This window comes from Homo sapiens, chromosome X (assembly GCF_000001405.40).
Source record: "Homo sapiens chromosome X, GRCh38.p14 Primary Assembly".
In the NCBI taxonomy this organism is placed as follows: domain Eukaryota; kingdom Metazoa; phylum Chordata; class Mammalia; order Primates; family Hominidae; genus Homo; species Homo sapiens.
Genome location: NC_000023.11, coordinates 112441418 through 112462542, shown reverse-complemented (window position 1 = coordinate 112462542; position 21125 = coordinate 112441418). Strand labels below are relative to the sequence as shown.

Genomic DNA, 21125 nt, shown 5'->3' with positions numbered 1-21125 from the left:
GGGAGGTGTCTCCCAGTCAGGCTACATGGGGGTCAGGGACACACTTGAGCAGGCAGTCTGTCTGTTATTGGAGCTCAAATGCCCTGCTGGGAGAACCACTGCTCTCTTCAGAGCTGTCAGGCAGGGACGTTTAAGTCTGGAGAAGCTGTCTGCTGCCTTTTGTTCAGATATGCCCTGCCCCCAGAGGTGGAATCTAGAGAGGCAGTAGGCCTTGCTGAGCTGCAGTTGCTCCACCCAGTTCGAGCTTCCCTGCTGCTTTGTTTACACTGTGAGCATGGAACCACCTAATTAAGCCTCAGCAATGGCAGATGCCCCTCCCTTCGCCAAGCTTCCACGTCCCAGATTGATGTCAGACTGCTGCGCCAGCAGCAAGCAAGGCTCCATGGGCGTGTGACCTGCTGAGTCAGGTATGGGAGGGGATCTCCTGGTCTACCAGTTGTGCAGACAGTGGAAAAAGTGCAGTATTTGGGCAGAGTGTACCGCTCCTCCAGGTACAGTCACTCATGGCTTCCCTTGGCTAGGAAAGGGAAATCCCCTGACCCCTTGCACTTCCTGGCTGAGGTGATGCCCCACCCTGCTTTGGCTCGCCCTCTGTGGGCTGCAACCACTGTCCAACAAGTCCCACTGAGATGAACCATGTACCTCAGTTGGAAATGCAGATATCACCTGTCTTCTGCATTGATCTCGCTGGGAGCTGTAGGCTGGAGCTGTTCCTATTCAGCCATCTTGGAAGCGAATCCCCAACTACATTTTTAAAGTAATATGCTTTGTGTCATCAATTTCAACTCAGTGAAGAGACTTGTGGCTCTCAAGGAAGAATCTACAATGACTTTTTTTCTCAAGGTATGGACAAAACCCAGAAAGGCCAAGAAGTTTTTGGAATCATTTTTAGGAAGCAATAGTAATAAAAAAGTAAATTGTATCTTGTTCAAATGTATTTAGTGCCCACATCTGGAATGCTGGGTACATTTGTAATGATTGTCCTCTGCTAAAGACAGCAGAGCGGGTGAAAGTTTGGAAAGGGCATGATGGATGTTTACTGGTCTAAATGGGTGAATACATGAGCATACACCAAAAAGATGAGGACGTTTCAGCCTAGTACACTAACCTGGGAAGGACAGGTAGTATAGTAGTGAAGAACACGGCTTTTTCTGTTAGAGAGACCCAAATATGAATCCTGGCTCTATGACCTATTAGCTAGTGACCTTGGACATGTTACTTAAACTCTGTGAGTTTACTTGTTTTCACCTGTAAAATGAGAATACTGATAGTGCATTTCTCATGAGGCTATTGTGGAAATTATGCACATAATTCCACCGCTCTTATGCTTGGCATATAATAAATGCTCAGTAACTTATTATTTAATGCCTCTAAAACCAAGTATAAGGTGACAGCATTAACACAGACTCCTTCATATCCTGGAATAATTGAATGGAATGGGGGATGCCTTTACATTATACATAGGTGAAGTTAATGCATGTAAAGGGAAGTCTGATTTAAATGGCAGGTATTAAACATGTGGTCTCCATTGCCCCATGAGACGTTACAGGCTGAAAACAAGTAGATTTAATAAAAAAGTCATGGATGATAGAATTATCATAGGCAATTAAGGGAAAAATGATGTTTGATAGTCGTTCCCAAACTCGTGGTTAATGTCAAAGAGAACAAGGCTATCTTCTCATAAATTCTCTTCAGAGTCAGATTGTTAGACTGGATATTCCCTGAGGTTGACACCATGAAGGGAGTTCTCAAATTTAAATGGCTAACTGCTCTCTGAATTAACCAAACTCCTATTTTAATATTGATTTTCTAATGACCATAGCAGATAACAGTAATCAGAAGACATTGAAATTGTCTCCTGGCATTCCTGCAGCCACTATAAACATCGTTTTTCAAAAAGACTCAATGGCTTTGTATGAAGAGCTACTGAAATATAAAGCCTTTATGTTAGTCAGAAACCTTTGTTAAAATCCTGCCTCAAAAAGCAAGAGCCTACCCAATCAGATAATGTAGATTCAGTGTATTTTTAGGGATTTCAAGGAATTTTCTCCAACTCATTAGAAACACAAATGAAATTACAAATTCCTAGAAGGCATTGATTTGTTTCATGCTTCCTTTGTAGGCTGTTGTTTAGAACAAGAGTTTCAATCAGTGGCTATGTGAATACCAGTTACTAGAGTAGCCTGTCTTCATGAAGTGGTTATGGGATGTGTAATTGAGTAAGTTATGGTAATCAGGAGGGGTGTGAGTTAGAGTTTCCCTCTTCTGAGATCACAATGCTCTGGCATCAAAAAGATATGCTTTAAAATTCTAGTTCAACCACTTACTGCTTGATGAATTTGGGAAGGTTGCCAAACTGTTCTAAACCTTAGTTTCATCATCTTTAAATTGAATTTATAACACTTATCTCATAAAGGTGTGGTGAGCATTAAATGCCAGAAATGGATATTCCATCTTTCAGTGATATGATATTTAAATACTCATTATTAATAAAGCTTTCAGCACAGTGCCTGGCATAAAGTAGGCATTCACCAACTATTAGTTTCCTTTCCCTAGATGTCCCCAACCCACATTTTATGTGTAAAGGGATGAGTCTTCTATGTATAGGGAAGGCTGAAATTCTACATAGTCCTTCACTGGGTTACTGTGAAGCAAATGGGGTTTTTGGAATACAGTCACAACTGACTTATCACTGAACTGGCTAGATAAGAGAACCAGGGCCATGTAGAGTAAATGCTAGAAATCAATGAGCAGGAAGCAAGTCCAAACAGATCTAAGAATCACAGCTGATAACAGGAAGTTATACCAATAAGCATGAATGCTCAAAACCATAGTGGCTATAAATGACGGGACAGTGTGGTCTGGGTGCTAAGACAAGTTGACCAAGATAGTTCTCCTGACTCTACTAAATGGTGTAACTCACTTCTGGGACTCTTGTTTTTGAAATGTGGTCAGTGACTCTTGCCGCAAGATGACACTGAAGATCCATGACACTAAATTCTCTCGAAGATTTTTCTTTTTTTTTTCATTATACTTTAAGTTTTAGGGTGCATGTGCACAACGTGCAGGTTAGTTACATATGTATACATGTGCCATGTTGGTGTGCTGCACCCATTAACTCGTCTTTTAACATTAGTTATGTTAAATGCTATAACCTAATGCTATCCCTCCCCCCTCCCCCCACCCCACAACCCAAATGAAGTTTGGGCCATCATAGGGAGGCAATGAAATGGCCACCGATGTGATACCAATGTGACAGGGCTTTACGGATATGAAACAAGCACCCAGAGCCCTTTTAAGGGCATGAGATGTTAGCTTTTGCCCAGATGGTGGTAGAAATTATGTGTATCCTAAATTATTTATTTTGCTTCAGAGATGACTATCGTGGTCATAGGCAAGAAGGTGTGACAATCATCATTCTAGAGATTATTCTAGAGATTATCTTCTAGAATTCAAAAAAAAGGTGATGTTTGTTGTGTCATCCTGGATAAAATAAGGACAGTGACAGTATGGGTCTTGTGCGTTGTCATCTGGACAGAATGGAGGTGATGAGAATGAGGCCAATCATGCAGTTCTCCCTGTCTAACGGTGCATTTCAGTGGCTCATATCTACAGTCATGTGTTATGTTTCATCCATGCCAGATTATTCTGACAGGTAGAATGAACTCTGAAATACTGTAAAAGGCAATTGCTTATGGCAGGTACCATGCTTCTGCATGCAAGTGAAGGTAAATGCAGAAAGTGAAAACCGTAGGTATTTAGAAATTTTATTACAGCTGTAGACAAATGAGGGAGATAAGGGAAACTGGCTGACCGTTGAGGCGAAGTTCCCAAGGAGGCCAATGTTCAGTAGACTCGCTATGATTCACACTATGGTGCTGACTTTGCAGAGTGAGAATCTTATTTTTTTCAGTGTACTCAGAGGTAATTAGAATCAGGAGGACTGGTACTATTTAAACCCACAAAAACTGATGTATAAGCCAAACACCAATTTATTCAATTATAATAAGAATTAACTCTGAAATAGGCTAGAACACGCATGTCAGCTGGTTAGCAAATTTTCTCTCCCTAACAAAGTTTATAAGGGAAACTAATTACAATCAAGTTACTTTGAGAGCATGGAATCAGAGCAATGGAGTTAGGTGACCAGATGGCTGACACAAATTGGGATGGCCATTGCAGGGGTGGACACGCCAAACAGTCTGCTGGTCAACAACTCACCTCTGAATCTAGGGGGATTACCAACGTTCTGTTTAACTTCTTGCTTTTCTGTGCTCCATGAATACTATTTTCTTGTTGACAAATTATTCTTCAGACTTATCATTAAATGATTAGATTCTATCTTGCTTGGGGCATCAATATGTAGCAGATCTGCTTCCTTAAAGCTACAACCTTGTTTGAATCTGGTGGTTCCCCAAGCCTTTGCAGTTGCTGATTCCATCTTTGAGTAGGTTATATCTCATCTGTTCTCTGTAGATTCTAAGTAGTTTCACTCTCAGAGAAATTCACATAGCTATGATTTCTTAGGACACACCCTTGTAACTCTCTTTATGCTAAATCATGAGTCATTCTAGTTGAAGTGGATGGCATATAATGGATGGTGTCACTATAACAAAAATTTTGAATTGGTAAAATGCTTGCTAGCTAGTAGGCAGTAAAGCATTATTCCAGCATCCCATTCATATGCTCAGTCTGGCTGCTGGATTGTATTGCACAGTGTACAAGAGGTCTTTGATTTGGAGCACCTCAACAAGGGACCCCCAGAAGTGGAGGGTGAACTGAAGTTCATAGCCCTGGATTGGTTATATTTTCTGAGAGGCTAAGTTTGAAGATTTCTAAGGAAAGAAGGTAATGTTGCTGCAAAGAGAAAATCCAAACAGGGAATAAAATGATATATCTTTGGGAAAGAACCCAAAATGATGAATTGTGGCCCTAAAATAAGGAAAGATTGTTGATTAAGCCAACTGAATGCTCCTATCAGCATTCCAAGACCATACTGGGTTTGGTAAGGAAAGTGACTAGAGGCCATGAGGTTAGTCCTTTATTATAGAATTGATGGAGGTAGAACAAGATACTTCCAGGTAATTTCAGAGTCACTCTACGTTCAATAGCTCTACTTGTTAGAGGATCTCATACAATCCCAGTACTATAGTCGGAATTTCTTAGCATAACTGGAATATGTTAACTCAGGTCTCTGTTGTGGGAGCATATAGAGTAATGTGGTTGTGCAGCGAGCCGTTGTTAAAAGAAACCATTCGTGAATGCAAATAAGAATTGTTACAGTGGCTAGCAAGGCACAAGGTGAAAATATCTATTTATTGGTGCTACAGAATCAGAGTAGTAAGGTCCTAGTTAGGTTTAAGTATTGTCAAAGTTAGCATAATTCTCCAGAAACAAAGCCAAAGTACAATGGGATTTCATGTTCTGAGAGGCCTTGATGGTTGCTAGGGAATATGTGATTACTGATATTTCTCCAGGATATCCATTTTGGGGACATACATCAGAAACAAGAAGCAGGGAACAGAGGGCTGGTAATTACCAGCAGTGATCATTGCTGAACAGTTTTAACATTTTAGGGAGTTTTGCCTTTCTAGCATAACACTACTTTTGTTCAGAAGCATCAGGAATCTACACAAAGCTGGTGTGTACCAAGAGTAAAACATAAGCAATAAAATCCCGACTTCCTGAGTTTTGTGCACAAATGGTTTTAATGTATGTGCCCCAGGATTTTTCAGATGAGATAGTGTAGGAAGTTTTTTGCCATTCATTGTTTTTTAAGATCCTCAATTAGATGAAGGACTTCAGAGGTGGTCCATAAAGGTAGAGCTCAATAGCAATGAGTAGTAATCCTAGATGGTGACTACATTGAGGCTTCTAGAGTTAGAAACTACTGCAGGGTCTGGCTGTCAGTCTTCAGTGGAGATTTATTTGGCCAGGTCCCTTGTCCAAGGCAGCAAGGACATGCTACAGATACAGTAATTATGACACACCATCCCCAACTCTCACTAAATACCTTTCAGAAATCCTTATCCTAGAGCATATTGACTTGGCTATAAGACATGCTGGAACCTCAAGTAGGGTTGTTGGAGAAGAGAGGAATAAGTTGGAATTGGTGGGCTTGGCTAAAAGCATACACCTGCCTGATGGGCTAGCCTGCAAAGAAAAAGGGACCAACAGTTCCAAGCAGTATTCAAATGCCCATTCAATCTGGTTTGTAAATAGCCAGGAGGTTCTGTTTGTTGGGAAAGCATGAGTCTTTAGATGGAAACAAAACATATAGCTCTATGGAAGGGTGGCAGAGCTGTGGTTCCAGGAAGGTTGATTTATGCTGAAGGTAGATCGTAGTCAATAGGTGAAGCATGGTCCAAACTCTAGGAGGAGAATATAAGCAGATTATAGGAATGTCATTTGGACTTCAGCCAAAGGTCCTAAGCCAACAGGAAACTAGGATACAGACCAATAAAGGTGAAGGTAAAAGTCTTGGGCTCATTTCTAGGCACACAAGATTCAGGATTTGGGACACAAACTCAACCCAGATGTCACCCATTGGTCAGGATAAGGTTCCCAATGTGCTTCCACGGTTATTTTCATTGGCTCAGACTGGGCAAAGTTTTGCCTGCAGGTTTTTGGTGCTCTTGGAGAATTAATCCCAACTGCAGAAAGTGCCTGTGAATTGTTTTCATCATTCTCGGGTTAGGTTTCGTGAGGGGTAATTTGCCAATGAACAAGATCTGATTGTTTAAATTCCCCCAAAGCGTGTCAGTTCATAACTGCCTATAAAGTGGTGTCACAGTTCCCCATCTGTATTTTAAAAGTTAATGCAGGTTATAAATCAGTAAGGCTGGGATGTAAGTTTAAAAAGTGACTTTCCTGGTCTCCTCTTACTGGTGAGCTGTGTTATTTGTCGTTGCCGGAGCTCGAGAACGTTTGGCAAGGCAATCTCTTGTGAAGTGACCAGATTGGCTGCAGTAGAGGCACAACTGAGTTTCTTGCTGGCGGGCTCGTTTGGCTGGGGTGAGAGGCAGCTGGCCTTCTCGCAGCTGTATAGGCCCTTTCTTGGGTGGTGGATCTGTGGGGCTAAAGAGGGCTTGGTGTTGGATCAAGGAAGCCAACAATGGGAGCTGGGTCTCTGACTGTAGGAGCTCTGGCCTGTCACTATGTTTCTTGTCCAACTGAATGCACTGAGTGATCAGGTCTGGAAGATTGTCCATCATATCAGTGACACTCTCTTCATCCTGGTTGGGATCAGCTAGTGCCTTTTCGAACTGACCACTCTGATTGGTTTCATTACAGATCAGATTTTGAGCGAGGAGGTGGAAAGTAGCAGGGTCCTGCTGAGAGGAGTTGTCTCCTTTGTCAAACTTAGCATTCATCAGAGGATTGATTTCCTGTTTTGTGGGTTTACCAAATGACTGCTGGAACTCAAGAATAAGATTCTCATATTGCTTCAGTAAGGTACTCTTGTCAGGCCCAGATATGATCCCACAACTTTCTAACTGCTGAGATAGGTAATCAAAAAAGAGTTTGATCTGGGCATCATTTGCAGGATTAGAGATTTGGAGAGCTGTCAAGTAGGTAGTCACCTGAGTGAGGAACTCTGAGCAATTGGCAGGGTCACCATGAAACTGGGTGAGATGCTCAAGTGAGTATGGTACAGGCATCACTGTGGTGGCCAGGGCAGGCATGACTTGGCCCCTTTTAGCAGTGTTCTCCGTGGTTGGATGCTGCATTTGAAGCCGCAGAATCAGATTCTCTGCCTGAAGAAAGGAAGGCTCTACCTGCATGGTAGATGATGATTTCGTGCACTTCTCCATTATGTCTCCTGGAATCAGGTGGGATTGAGTAGAATTGAGTACTAGTACTGGAAACCAATGGAGACAGTGGATTTGCTCTGTGATCAGAGACGGAGTGTCATGAGCAAGTAGCCAAAGCTGTTAGCTGTGAAGAAGACACTAGGAGATGCTAACAGCTGAATTGGAGAGATGCCAAAAAGTGTTGTCCGCCACTCAATGTTGCCTCTTCTTCATGGAAAAGGCCAATGGTCTGCAATTTGGAAGAAATAAGTTACCTTAGAACACATAAAGGACTTGGGATTAAGAAGATATATACAACAGTCACAGTACCTTTCTCTCCTCCCTCCTTTTCCTTGTAATATAAGGGCAATTTGCCCTCTGACTAAACCTTTGTTCTAAAGCAAGCTTGGTCAACCTGTGGCTGGTGGGCCACATGCAGCCCAGGATGGCTTTGAATGCAGCCCAACACAAATTTGTAAACTTTCTTAAAACATTATGAGATTTTTTGTGATTGTTTTTTTAAGCTCATTACGTATCATTAGTGTTAGTGTATTTTATGTGTGGCCCAAGACAATTCTTCTTCTTCCAATGTGGCCCATGGAAGCCAAAAGATTAGACATCCCTGTTCTAAAGTATCTTTTTTCCATCAGAGAGTCAAAGAATTTGAAAACCCAAAGTGATCTCAGGTGATTATCCAGGCCAAATTCATAATTTTGCAAATAAGAAAACAGAGACCCAGAGAGGTAAAGATGTTTTCCCAAGGTCACACAGATAGTTAATATCACAGCTGGCATGCTCATCAGGGTTGTTGTCCAAATGGCACTTCCCCCAAGACCGTAAATGTGCTCATTTGCATATACTGCTTGGACATGATGATGGTTCGTGCACCTGGCTCCTCAGAATGTGATCTGTGAACAAATGGCATTGGCACTACCAGAAAGGTTGTTAGAAATGCAGAATCTTGGGTCTCACCCCAGAACTACTAAATCATTTTTCACACTTTAATAAGATTCCCAAGGTGACTAGAATATGTGTTAAAGTTTGAGAAATGCTGCTCTAAAGAGCACTTAGTTTGAATTGGAATAATCACTGGTTGGACTTGACCATAAGTGCCCCAAGACTAGCCTGCATTGCTGTGGGGATATGATTCCTGTGATGGCAGTTAATCCATGTTTTCTATCTTTCTAGTCCCTGTCTGAGGTCACAATTTCTTGCCATGGAAATGATTAAGATATCACAGGCAAGACTAAGAGGTAAGGTTGAGAATCTAGCAAACAAGAACTGAATATTCTTAAAATTAAAAAGATCAAAATGTTCAGCAGTCTTTCCAGCATTGATAACAAAAATAAAGCAACCAGTAAAAGTTAAAAACAACCCCAAACATATGGCATAGCAGTTGAACTATTCTGCACTTCAATTCCTCTCATTGCCCTTTCCTTGTGTAGCATGCTATTTAAATATATTTAAATTGTCCACTGGTGGGAAAAAATGATGTATCATTGAATCTTTTTAAATGTAAGACTTGATTTCCCTAGGTTTTATTTGATGGCTCATTTTCTCTAGACCTATGAAAAAATTATTGGAAGACAAATAGTATAAGATTGGAGGCCAGAAACATGAATCCAACCACCAGCATTAATCAGTTGGATGATCCTGAAGAACTCATTTAGGTCTCGGTTTCCTTTTTTACCTAATGAGGATTACTTTTTTTTTTTTTGAGACAGAGTCTCGCTCTTGTCCCCCAGGCTGGAGTGCAATGGTGCAATCTCAGCTCACTGCAACCTCCGCCTGCCGGGTTCAAGCGATTCTCCTGCCTCAGCCTCCCAAGTAGCTGAGATTATAGGCGCCTGCCACCATGCCCGGCTAATTCTCGTATTTTTAGTAGAGACACAGTTTCACCATGTTGGCCAGGCTGGTCTCAAACTCCTGACCTCAGGTGATCCGCCTGCCTCGGTCTCCCGAAGTGCTGGGATTACAGGTGTGAGCCACCGCACCTGGCCAGGATTACTATTTTACTTACCTCAGAAGGTGGTTATATCAATGAGATAACAGATTGGTGCTCTGAGTGGCAAAAAATGAAAGATTTACTTCCAAAATATTTCCAATGTAGATGAAAAATGCCCGGTGGAGAGGCTCTGCCTTTATCACATATTGTCAAAGTAGGGAGATACTATCATACCCTCCTTTTTTTCTTCCTTTCCATATCTCACCCTTCTAATTTCCTGATCTGTCTTCCAGACATCTACCACTTCCCAGATGTCCATCAATGAGTTCATTACTGCCATTCCAGCTAGGTGTCAACTGATAGCTAAGATGTTCTTCAATAAGGGTTAATGATTGGCCTTTCCAGGCAGGGCATGGTGGCTCACGCCTGTAATCCCAGCACTTTGGGAGGCCGAGGTGGGTGGATCATGAAGTCAGGAGATCAAGACCATCTTGGCTAACATGGTGAAACCTCATCTCTACTAAAAAAAAAAAAAAAAAAAAAAAAATTAGCTGCGCGTGGTGGCACGTGCCTGTAGTCCCAGCTACTCGGGAGTCTGGGGCAGGAGAATCGCTTGAACCTGGCAGGCAGAGGTTGCAGTGAGCCAAGACCATTCCACTGCATTACAGCCTGGGTGACAGAGTGAGATTCTGTCTACAAAAAAAAAAAAAAAAAAGGTCTTTCCCAGGGCATTTGCTGTTCACTCCAGCTTTAATGTCATAAGAATCAACTCAGACCCAATCCCTAGCAATTCTGATTCAATAAGTCTGGGATGAATCCCAGGAATCTGTATTTTAACAAGCTGGCCTGTTGATTTCTGATGCCGGTGGCTCTTGTGCAAAACACTGTCCAGATAAATCTCAAAGAATAAAACATTATTAGCAATATCACAGAGAAGTAGGGATGGGGAGGGCACATATTTGCAGGTAGAAGATTGGCTCTCAAATAACATAAAATGGGTGGTACACTATTCTACCTCCACATAAAGCACACAAAGAGCCCACATTGTCCTTCACTACTGCTCATCTCTCCCACGTGGTAGAATTCAACAGGTAAGGATGTCACTTCTAAACTCAAAGCGACTTGGTTTGATCTATGAACTGTGTGATTCTGAGCAAGTTATTTAGCCTCTTTGAGAATCAGTTTCCAAATTTTAAAATAGACATGATTATAATACCTGCCTCATAATGTTATGAAAATTAAATGAGATGAAGAGAGATTAGCATGGCTTCATACACATAGCAAGTTCTCCATACATTTTTTTTTTGAGACAGAACCTCACTCTATTGCCTAGGCTGAAGTGCAGTGGCATGTTCACAGTTCATTGCAGCCTCGATCTTTCAGGCTCTGGTAATCTTCCCACCCCAGCCTCCCTGGTAGCTAGGACTACAGGCACATACCACCTCGCCTGGCTATTTTTTGTTGTTGTTTGGAGGTGAGGTTTCAACATGTTGCCCAAGCTGGTCTTGAACTCCTGGGCTCAAGCAATCCACCTTCCCAAATTCACCCACTTTGGCCTCCCAAAATGCTGGGATTACAGGTGTGAGTCACTGCACTCAGCATCCATAAATGTTAGCTATTATTATTGTAGGTCCGCAAGCTGTTATCTGACTGTGTTTTAGAATTTAAATTTTTTCAGGTTTTTAGAAAGGTAACATGGAGTATCTACTGCTTATTACATAATACCTTCAGCAATGTCTGGGAAACATCCCATAATTAAGCCATTAACATTCCTGTAGGGAAAAAAAATGTCTGAATAGTCATACTAAAAAGGATAAAGACTAAGTGCATGACAATTCAGGTCAAGTTTTGCTGTCAAATGAGTTTTGGCACCAAATTAATGAAAAAAAATTGCTTCCATTTTACAGAGGTTTATGATTTCACAATTGAGATAAGAGATTACACGGACCTTTACATTATTATAACAATGTCCTTTGATTGGAAATGTGAGATTTTAAATTTTCCTTCCTTTCCTTGCCTTCTCTTTCCTCCACTCTCAGAAGTTCCAGAATCTCTGTTGAGTTCTGTTTCTTTACAGAATTATGTATTCAAGGTGGCACAGCATTCAATTTTCCTAATTATGTAGCACTGGTGAAACACTTGCTAAGATTATAAGCATTAGTCCAAATGCAAATCATACAATGACACTGTTGTCAGTGGCAATTGCTTAATCCCTCCAAAAAAAAAATCTACCTTGCCTCTTCATTTTGGAAATTGTTCTCCTTTAAAGGTCAGTGGCCTTATATTGTATTGCCCCAGAGGATCCTGGGACAAAGCTTGCCAGTTCAGAGGTGTTTCAGACCACAGCCTTGAAGAGAAAAAGCAGAGATAGAGCCAAAACCTGAAATACACAGGCTTGAGGGATCAGACTTGTGAGCTCGGACAAGGTCTAACACAACTGCATACATTTAAGCTTTTATTTACTAGGTATGTGTTTCAACTACAAAAACAAAAAATGGGTTTGGTAAATTATTACAGGTCATTTTAGTGTTTGTATTTGGTCTGGCTCAAAGCCATAGTTAACAGTTTCCTCGAACATAAAACTACTTTACTCTGGAGTCCCTTGAGATCCCATTTGGAGAAGAGTCAGCAGTACCCTGCTGCTTATAAGAGAGCTTTTTGACTTTACACTGCTTTAATTTCAAACTGTTCTACATAATCCCTTGGAAGAGGAGCTTTGACCTAAAGTCATGCAACTACCCAGAGCAGTTGTATATTTTACTCTTGATCTCCAAACTTTCTGAGGAATGCTGTGGCCACAGAAGCTAAATTGAGACATAAATAACTCTCAAGGGGTGACCAGAAGGGCAAACTGTTTGGATTTGTCTGGAGACCTCAGTGTGGGCCTAGCTCTGCCACCATTCAGATCAATGGCCACATGGGCAAGTCACTCGCTCTCTCTGGGCTTGTTTCCTTACTTGTACAATGAAGGCATCGGGCTTCCCAAACTTTAGCACACATACAAAATTCTGATTCAAGAGGGTTAGCAGGAGACCCCAACATTGACTATCAATCATCCCTCCAGATGATATTGAAGTAAGAGGCCTTCAGATTTTACCTTGTGAATATCGGGTGACTGACCACTCAGAGCACCAACATTTCTCAGAGGTTCTCAAATTTCAGGGTACATCAGAATCCCCTGGGATTTTAACATGCAGATTCTTGGGCTCACTCCTGGAAAGTGTGATTCAGTGGGTCTGAATTTGATCTCCATTTTAATCAATCTCTGCAGATGATGCAGTAAAAGTTCCCTTGATGACACTTTCAAGAAATTCTAGGTTGAATACCCTCAAAAGGTCCTTTCTGTTTCATTATCTACATTTTTGAAAGTAGAAAATATTTGGCTCCAACAGGAGCCCCTAAGGTGCATGATATGTGCATTGCTTCTTTTCATGGCTTTATCTGAGCCTCCATAGGCCCCTGTAAACAGTGGACTGGTGCAGGCTGTCTCAGGCACATCACATGCAGCTGGCTTAGGGGCAAGAGAGAGGGTAGCAATTGAGCTGAATCTGCTCTTAGGGCTCTGTGGGTCCTTCTGGAAAGTATGCACCACTCTCTTCTTCTCTGCCTGGGAATGAGATTAAAAAGCCATCCCCATATCCCTGTCAGAGCTGGAGCAGCCCAGCTGAGGGTCAATTTGGCCATTGCTATGTCTCAGACCTCAGAACTTCCTTTAAGCTTCAATCTTCCTTCTGGCTCAGCTGGACCCATGGCCTAGCTTCTTATGAAGTTAAAAGTGTCATGAACACTCTCAATAGAATTTCCTGTTACATTTCCCCAGTTTTCCTTTTTAACATACTTAATTCTATTAAGGAACCACACTTGATCCATCACCCTTTCTGCCCATGGGCTTCATGGTCTGTGTGTACAGAGATTTAAATCTCAAAAAACCCACCTTATATTCATCATTTCATCCCATCTTTACTGCAATTTTCCAGTTCAGAAAACAAAACACTGAGATATTAAGTCAAGTGAAAGAGGAAGGGAAGCTTGGTATGTAAATAACTGGCTCCAAAGGACTCTCATTGTTCTCAGAGACAAGGAAGAAGCTATCCAAAGATGCAGTTGGGAGGATGGGGATGGGGATGGGACGAGTCTCTCCATGAAGTAAGTTACCAGTTCTATATCACTGGGGAATAAGCAGAGCTAGGATTACCACCTAGTTGGGAGTTGGAGTAGGGGGCTCCAAGAATCAGAGAAGAGGGAGCATCATGAAGAGAATCTGGTCCTTTCAAACCCATAGATTCTATAACTTGCCTGAGCACACAGCTAAAAAGCAGGTGAGAAACTGGCTGCTGGTTTTCTGCAATCTGGAATATGACCCTCAGACCCACAGCCAACCTTAATCTTACCCACTATGCTCATCATCCCTCTGTTCCTGTTCCTGGAGTAGACTCAATGGTTAAGATACAGCAATGGTGGTTTACCAATATGAGGGCTTAGTTTGGTTTCTCTGTCCATTCCCAATGTGACCATCGTTTCAAAGAGTACATGCTGTTTCAAGTAAACAATTACAGAAAGAGTGGAAAAATTTTGATCTGCAGATTCCAAATTGTCATATAATCAGCCCATAAATTTGAAATAAAAGGTCTTTTCCTGCCTTCATGCTCCCTCCTGTCTCTTTCGTCTTTAATTCATTAAGTGCAGTTCACTTACTGCTGAACACCACTTGCAACTGATGAGATGACAGAACCTAGCCTACTTATATTCAAACTTTTTTTTGGATTTCCAGGTCCCTGTGGTACACAGGCAATCTGTGCCCCTGGTCAAGGTGGAGAAAGCTTAATATAAGCAACTTAGGATACATCATGTTTTTTGACTATGAGAATCCTCTTTCAGATTTACAGATGAAGAATCTGAGGCTCAGGAAATAAAAGTTATTTGGGCCATGTTTAAGACTCTCTGTATTAATGTTCCAACCTGAAACTCTTAGCCTTTCTCTCCTCTCTAAGTCTTGACTATGAGTGAATGAGGAATACAGGCATTATAGAGTATGGGGCAGAAGCAACCTTATAATGTCACTTAATAATTGGTAACATTCCACACATGTGCAGAGCATTTCATGTGATCTGAATATTTTCCTACTGTTCCATGTATCCTTTTAATAAAATGTGATATAGGCAAGGCATGTATTCAACACTCCCTCCCAGAAGATAAAAAAAGAGTTGTCTAAGGACATACAGTTACTTAGTATTAAATTTGGGACTAGAATTCTCCACATTTGATGCTAACACCACTATGTTCTGGAAATAGTTTCAAACAGTAGAAAAAACTCATGGGCTTCGGAGTTAGACGGATGTTGGATTAAAATCCCAGTCTAGATTCAAATTCCAACCTATGAGACCTTGGGTGAATTACTTCTCTGAGACTTAGTTTTCACATCTGTGTTGCAAGACACTATATGTATTTACACATAGTTGAGATAATATATGTAAATTTCCTGGCATCCAGCAGATATCAACAATAGAAGCCACTATTTTCTAGAGCCACTGGAAGGTTGCCTACCAAACATCTTTGTCAGTAGCTCCAGTTTCTATCTGAGAAACCATGTTTTTCTGGGGAAGGTGATTCTACCTGAATTTGTTGGTATGGAGCAAGTGACTTAAACTAAGCCACTTAGCATATTACTTGCTCTAGTGTTTCTCCTTTGCACTCTCATATCACTTGCAATTAGTTATTGCAGTCCTGTTGTCCCTATTAATTCAATATGGAAATATTTAAATATGGGAATTATTTATTTCTGTATTCCCAGGGCCTAGCACTAGCTTACTTCCTTATACATAGAGGCACTCAGAGATTCTTTCTCGAATTTATACGATCTGTCCATAACAGCCATAGTTAGAACTAGATTTTAGCAGAGGTGGTTTTACTGTTCCCCATTCACTATCTCTTCTTTTATTATTCCTTTTTTTAATTTTGGAGATGGAGTCTCACTCTGTTGCCTAGGTGAAGTGCAATGGAGCGATCTTGACTCACTGTAACCTTCGCTTCCCGGGTTCAAGTAATTCTCCTGCCTCAGCCTCCCAAGTAGCTGGGATTACAGGCATGCACCACCATGCTGGGCTAATTTTTGTATTTTTAGTAGAGATGGAGTTTTGCCATGTTGGCCAGGCTGGTCTCAAACTCCTGGCCTCAAGTGATCCACTCGCCTTGGCTTCCCAAAATGCTGGGATTACAGGTATGAACCACTGAGCCCGGCCTATTCCTTGATGTAAATGGAAAACCCAGCCCTGCTCCAGTGTACCTCAGTATGTTTTCATATTACAGATGCCCAAGTTAACCAGATAGAAATATAGAACAAGACTGGTGGCAGTGGGAAAAATGCTCAGGAGGCAGATGTCCAAGCTGTGGACTTCAGTGGGTTTAGCCAGAATAGTGAGAAACAGTAGCCTTGGAGACCCTTGAGAATGTGTTCTGTTTGGATGAATGGGTCATTTAGTTTGTGGCTACTCTCCTCTTCAAACAGTTTCAAATTAGCCCAGGGCCTATGTCAATATTATCTAGAAGAATTTAGAATAAAACAAATGCAAAATAATCCAGATAACAATTGTCTAAAGATAATGGTATTTTCAACCACCCTTAATGAAGACAGAATAATTACCTACATCTCATGTGTTGTGCCCTATGCATAACTGGCCCACAAGTTTGAAAAACAGAGCAGATTCTGGGGAGTGTAAAAAGACAAAGTAGGAATGGGTGGGCTTCTCTAGCAGCCCAAATAGCAGCAGCTGCTGCAACCTTCCTTCTGCACCGTTACTATTAGAACTCTTCCTTTTCATTGTCTGACATTTCTCAACCCCTTGACATTGGGACAGATACAGGTTGGTAGAGCTTTGAGCTCTGCTAGTTGCTAGCTGTGTAACCTGAGGCAAGTTAACCTTCACAAGCTTTATTTTCTTTATCCATAAAATGTGGCCAATAATATTCACCACAGAAGGTTGTTCATTTATTTATATAATAAATTTTTATTGAATATCTGTTTTATGTTAGACACTTTTTTGAGCACTGGGAAACAATAATGAGCCCTCACTGAGCATGGATATTCTGGAATTACTGAAGCTGAAGCAACATATGGAAACTCCTTATCTCAGTACCTGGCTCATTGCAGCTATTTAACAAACAATAGCTGTCATTTTATTAGTCCGAGATATAAGAATGTGTTGATTACAGTCCTATGATCTGGAGTCAGATCTGGATTTAAGTTCTTATTTAGAACATTAGATCCATAAGAACTTGGCCAAGTTTTTTAACCTCACATACCTTAATTTTCTCACCTACAAAATAACTATTAATAATCATAACTTTCTTATAAGTTTGGGAAGAACAAATAAGAGTAGATGTGAAACTTCCAGCAAGTCTCTCCTCAAAGGGCTAACAACTCTAGTTTGAAACAGGTTCAGTTGGAACAAAAACAAAAAGCTTTTCAAGGAACATGTCTCTTGAGTTGCTTAAAATTTGTCTACAGCAAAAAGGAAAGTAAACGGAAGAACTATTGTTAGAAGGACAGATAACTCTGTTGGAATTCTAAGTACAGATATTGCAGGGAAAGACAATTTGTAGGTGACAAGTAAACAGCTCCCTTCACACCCGTCACAGGTGAGGAAACAGTCACCATACTTAATACCTTTGCTTATAATAGACTCAAAATGACCCCTTTGTAAAGCCCTTCTGTCCTGAGCCCCAGATTTCAGCAAGGCCATGTCTCCTTCTCTCATCTTGCTAATAGTTCATATTTTCAATAAGGCTTAGCTCAAGTAAATTAAATTGAAATGAAGAAAACAACAATACAAAACATCAATAAAACCAAAAGTTGGTTTTTTGAAAAGTTAAACAAAATAGATAAACCTTTAGTGAAACTAAGAAAAAAAGAGAGAATACCTAAATAAATAAAATCAGAAATGAAAAAGGAGACATTACAACTGATATCGTGGAAATTCAAAGGAACATTATTTCCTACTATGAACAACTATCTGTCAATAAATTGGAAAATATAGAAGAAATGGAAAAATTTGTAGACACATACAACCTATGAAGAAATCCAAAACCTGAACAAACCAATAACAAGCAATGAAATCAAAGCCATAATAAAAATTCTCCCAATAAAGAAAAGCCTAGAACTCAATGACTTTACTGCTGAATTTAAACCAAACATTTAAAGAAGAAGTAATATTAAGTGTACTCAAACTATTCCAGAAAAGAAAGGAGGATGTAATACTTCCAAATGTCCATACTACCCAAAGCAATGTATAGATTCAATGCAATCCCCATCAAAATACCAATGACATTCTTCATAGAAATGGAAATAGTAATCCTAAATTTTACATGAAACCACAAAAGACCCAGAATAGCCAAGGCTATCCTGAGCAAAAAGAACAAAAATTGAGGAATTACATTACCCAACTTCAAATTATGCTACAGAGCTATAGTAACCAATATAGCATGGTACTGGCATAAAAACAGAAACGTTGGCCAATGGAACAGAATAGAGAAACCAGAAACAAATCCACACACCTACAGTGAGTTCATTTTTCACAAATGTGCCAGGAACATACACTGGGGAAAAAAATAGTCTCTTAAATAAATGGTGCTGGGAAACCTGGATATTCATATGCAGAATAATGAAACTAGACTCCTATCTCTCTCCATATATAAAAATTAAATAAAAATGGATTAAAGACTTAAATCTAAGACCTCAAACTATGAAACCACTAAAAGAAAACATTGTGGAGACTCTTTAGGACATTGGACTGGGCAAAAATTTATTGAGTAATACTCCACAAGCATAGGCGACCGAAGCAAAAATGGACAAGTGTGGATCACATTAAGCTAAAAAGCTTCTGCACAGCAAAGGATACAATCAACGAACTGGAGAGACAACCCACAGAATGGGATAAATAAAATATTTGCAAACTACCCATTTGACAAGCAATTAATAACAAGAATATATAAGGAGCTCCAACAACTCTACGAAAAAAATCTAATAATCTGATTTAAAAATAGGCAAAAGATTCGAATAGATGTCTCTTAAAAGAAGACATACAAATGAAAAATAAACATGTGAAAAGGTGCTCAACATCATTGATCATCAGAGAAATGCAAATCAAAACTACAATGAGATATCATTTCATGTGAGTTAAAATGGCTTATACTAAAAAAATCGTGCAATAACAAATGTTGGTGAAGATATGGAGGAAAGGGAACCTTGTGCACTGTTGATGGGATTGTAAATTAGTACAACCACTGTGGAGAACAGCTTGGGGGTTCTTCAAGAAACTAAAAATTGAGCTACCATATGATTCAGCAATCTCACTGCTGGGTATATACCCAAAAGAAAAAGAATCAGTATAAGGAGGAGGAGATATCTGCACTCCCATGTTTGTTGTAGCTCTGTTCACAATAGCCAAGAATTGGAAGCAAGCTAAGTGTCCATGAACAGAGGACTAGATAAAGAAAATGTGGTACTTATACACAATGGAGTACTATTCAGCAATAAAAAATGATGAAATTCAGTCATTTGCAACAACATGGATGAACTGGAGGTCATTATGTTAAGTGAAATAAGCCAGGCACAGAAAGACAAACATCTCACGTTCTTACCTATTTGTTGGATATAAAAATCAAAACAATTGAATCTGCAGAGATAGAGAGTAGAAGGATGGTTACCAGAGTTTGGGAAGGGTAGCAGGGTGGGGTTGGGTGTTGTTGGTGGAGGTGAGGATGGTAATGAGTATAAAAGAGTAGTTAGAATAAATGAATAAGTTAGAATAAATAATATTTGATAGCACACGGTGTGACTGTAAGTCAATAATAATTTAATTGTACATTTAAAAATAACTAAAAGAGTATAATTGCATTGTTTGTAACACAAAGGATAAAGGCTTGAGGGGAGGGATACCCCATGTTCCATGATGTGTTTATTATGCAGTACATCTCATGTATCCCATAAATATGTACACCTACTATATACCCACAAATATAAAAAATAAAAAATTATTAAAAAAATAAGATTTAGCTCTTCCTCCCTTCTTGTGTTTCTGTGTCTTTGATGACCTCTGTATTCAGGATGCTATTGTCATTGGCACTTGGGGTGTCAAAACAATAGCTGGGGTTGCAATGGGACATGACTCTGTGCAGAACATTAGCTTTTAAAATCCTATTTTATTGGTGGTATACTTTACATACAATAAAATTCATTCATTTGAAATGTACAGCAAAGAGGCCAGGCACAGTGGCTCATGCCAGTAATCCCAGCACTATGGGAGGCTGAGGCGGGTAGATCACTTGAGACCAGGAGTTGGAGACCAGCCTGGCCAACATGGTGAAACTCCATCTATACTAAAAAAAAAAAAATACAAAAATTAACTGGATGTGGTGGTGGGCACCTGTAATCCTAGCTACTCGTGAGGCTGAGATGGGAGAATCACTTGAACTCAGGCGGTGGAGGTTGCAGTGAGCCGAGACTGTGCCACTGCACTCCATCCTAGACAACAGAGCAAGACTCCATCTCAAAAAAAAAAAAAAGAAATGTAAATGTACAGCAATGAGTTTTTGACAAATGTATACATCTGGGTGACCGACACCACATTCAAGATATAGACTCTTTCACTACTCCCCAAATTTTATCATGTTCCTTTGCAGTAAGTACCTCCACACCCAGCCCCAGGCAACCACTAATCTACTTTTTGTTCACATTGATCTGCCTTTTCTAGGCATCTTATATAAAGGGAATCATATAATATTTGGGCTTTTGTGTCTGGCTTCTTTCACTTAGTATGTTTTTAAGGTTTATCCATGTTGTGGCATGTCTCAGTACTTCATTTCTTTTTGTTGCCAAAAATATTCAATTGTATGGATATACCACCTCTTGTTTTACTTGCTGATGGACAGCTGAGTTATTTCCAGTGTGAGGCCATTACAAATAAAGCTGCATTTGTACAAGTCTGCATGTCTACATAAATTTTCTTTTTTCCTCTAGCTTTACTAAGATATGATTGACAAATAAAATTGTATATATTTAAGGTGTACATCATGATATTTTGACATACATATACATTGTGAAATAATTACCACAATCATTTATCTTTGTTTAGATATCTAGGAGTGGGTGATGAGGTAAGTCTGTGCTTAACTTTATAAGATACTGCAAACTGTTTCCCAAAGTGGCTTTACCCTTTTGCATTCTCACCAGCAGTGTATGAGTGTTATAATCATACACCCTTGCCAACATGTGGCATTTTAAGTCATTTAAAATTTATTTGTGTGTGTTGTCACAGATGCTCTTGAAGGGCCATGAGCCATTTGCTCTCTCCCCTATTGGCTGCTCACTATAATCTCTATCCCGCTGTCTT

The 21125-nt window shown here is 40.1% G+C and overlaps 1 protein-coding gene across 2 annotated transcripts in view; it reads right to left on the bottom strand.

Moving 5' to 3' along the window:
- Window positions 1-5028: 5028 nt before the first annotated feature.
- RTL4 (retrotransposon Gag like 4) overlaps window positions 5029-21125 on the bottom strand; it is a 374502-nt gene continuing 358405 nt past the window's right edge. For both annotated transcript variants that reach the window (NM_001004308.3, NM_001395362.2), the window contains one exon: window positions 5029-8043. In NM_001004308.3, the coding sequence (NP_001004308.2) occupies window positions 6882-7814 (933 nt within the window). In that variant the 5' untranslated portion in view covers window positions 7815-8043 and the 3' untranslated portion in view covers window positions 5029-6881. The remainder of the gene's footprint in view (window positions 8044-21125) is intronic.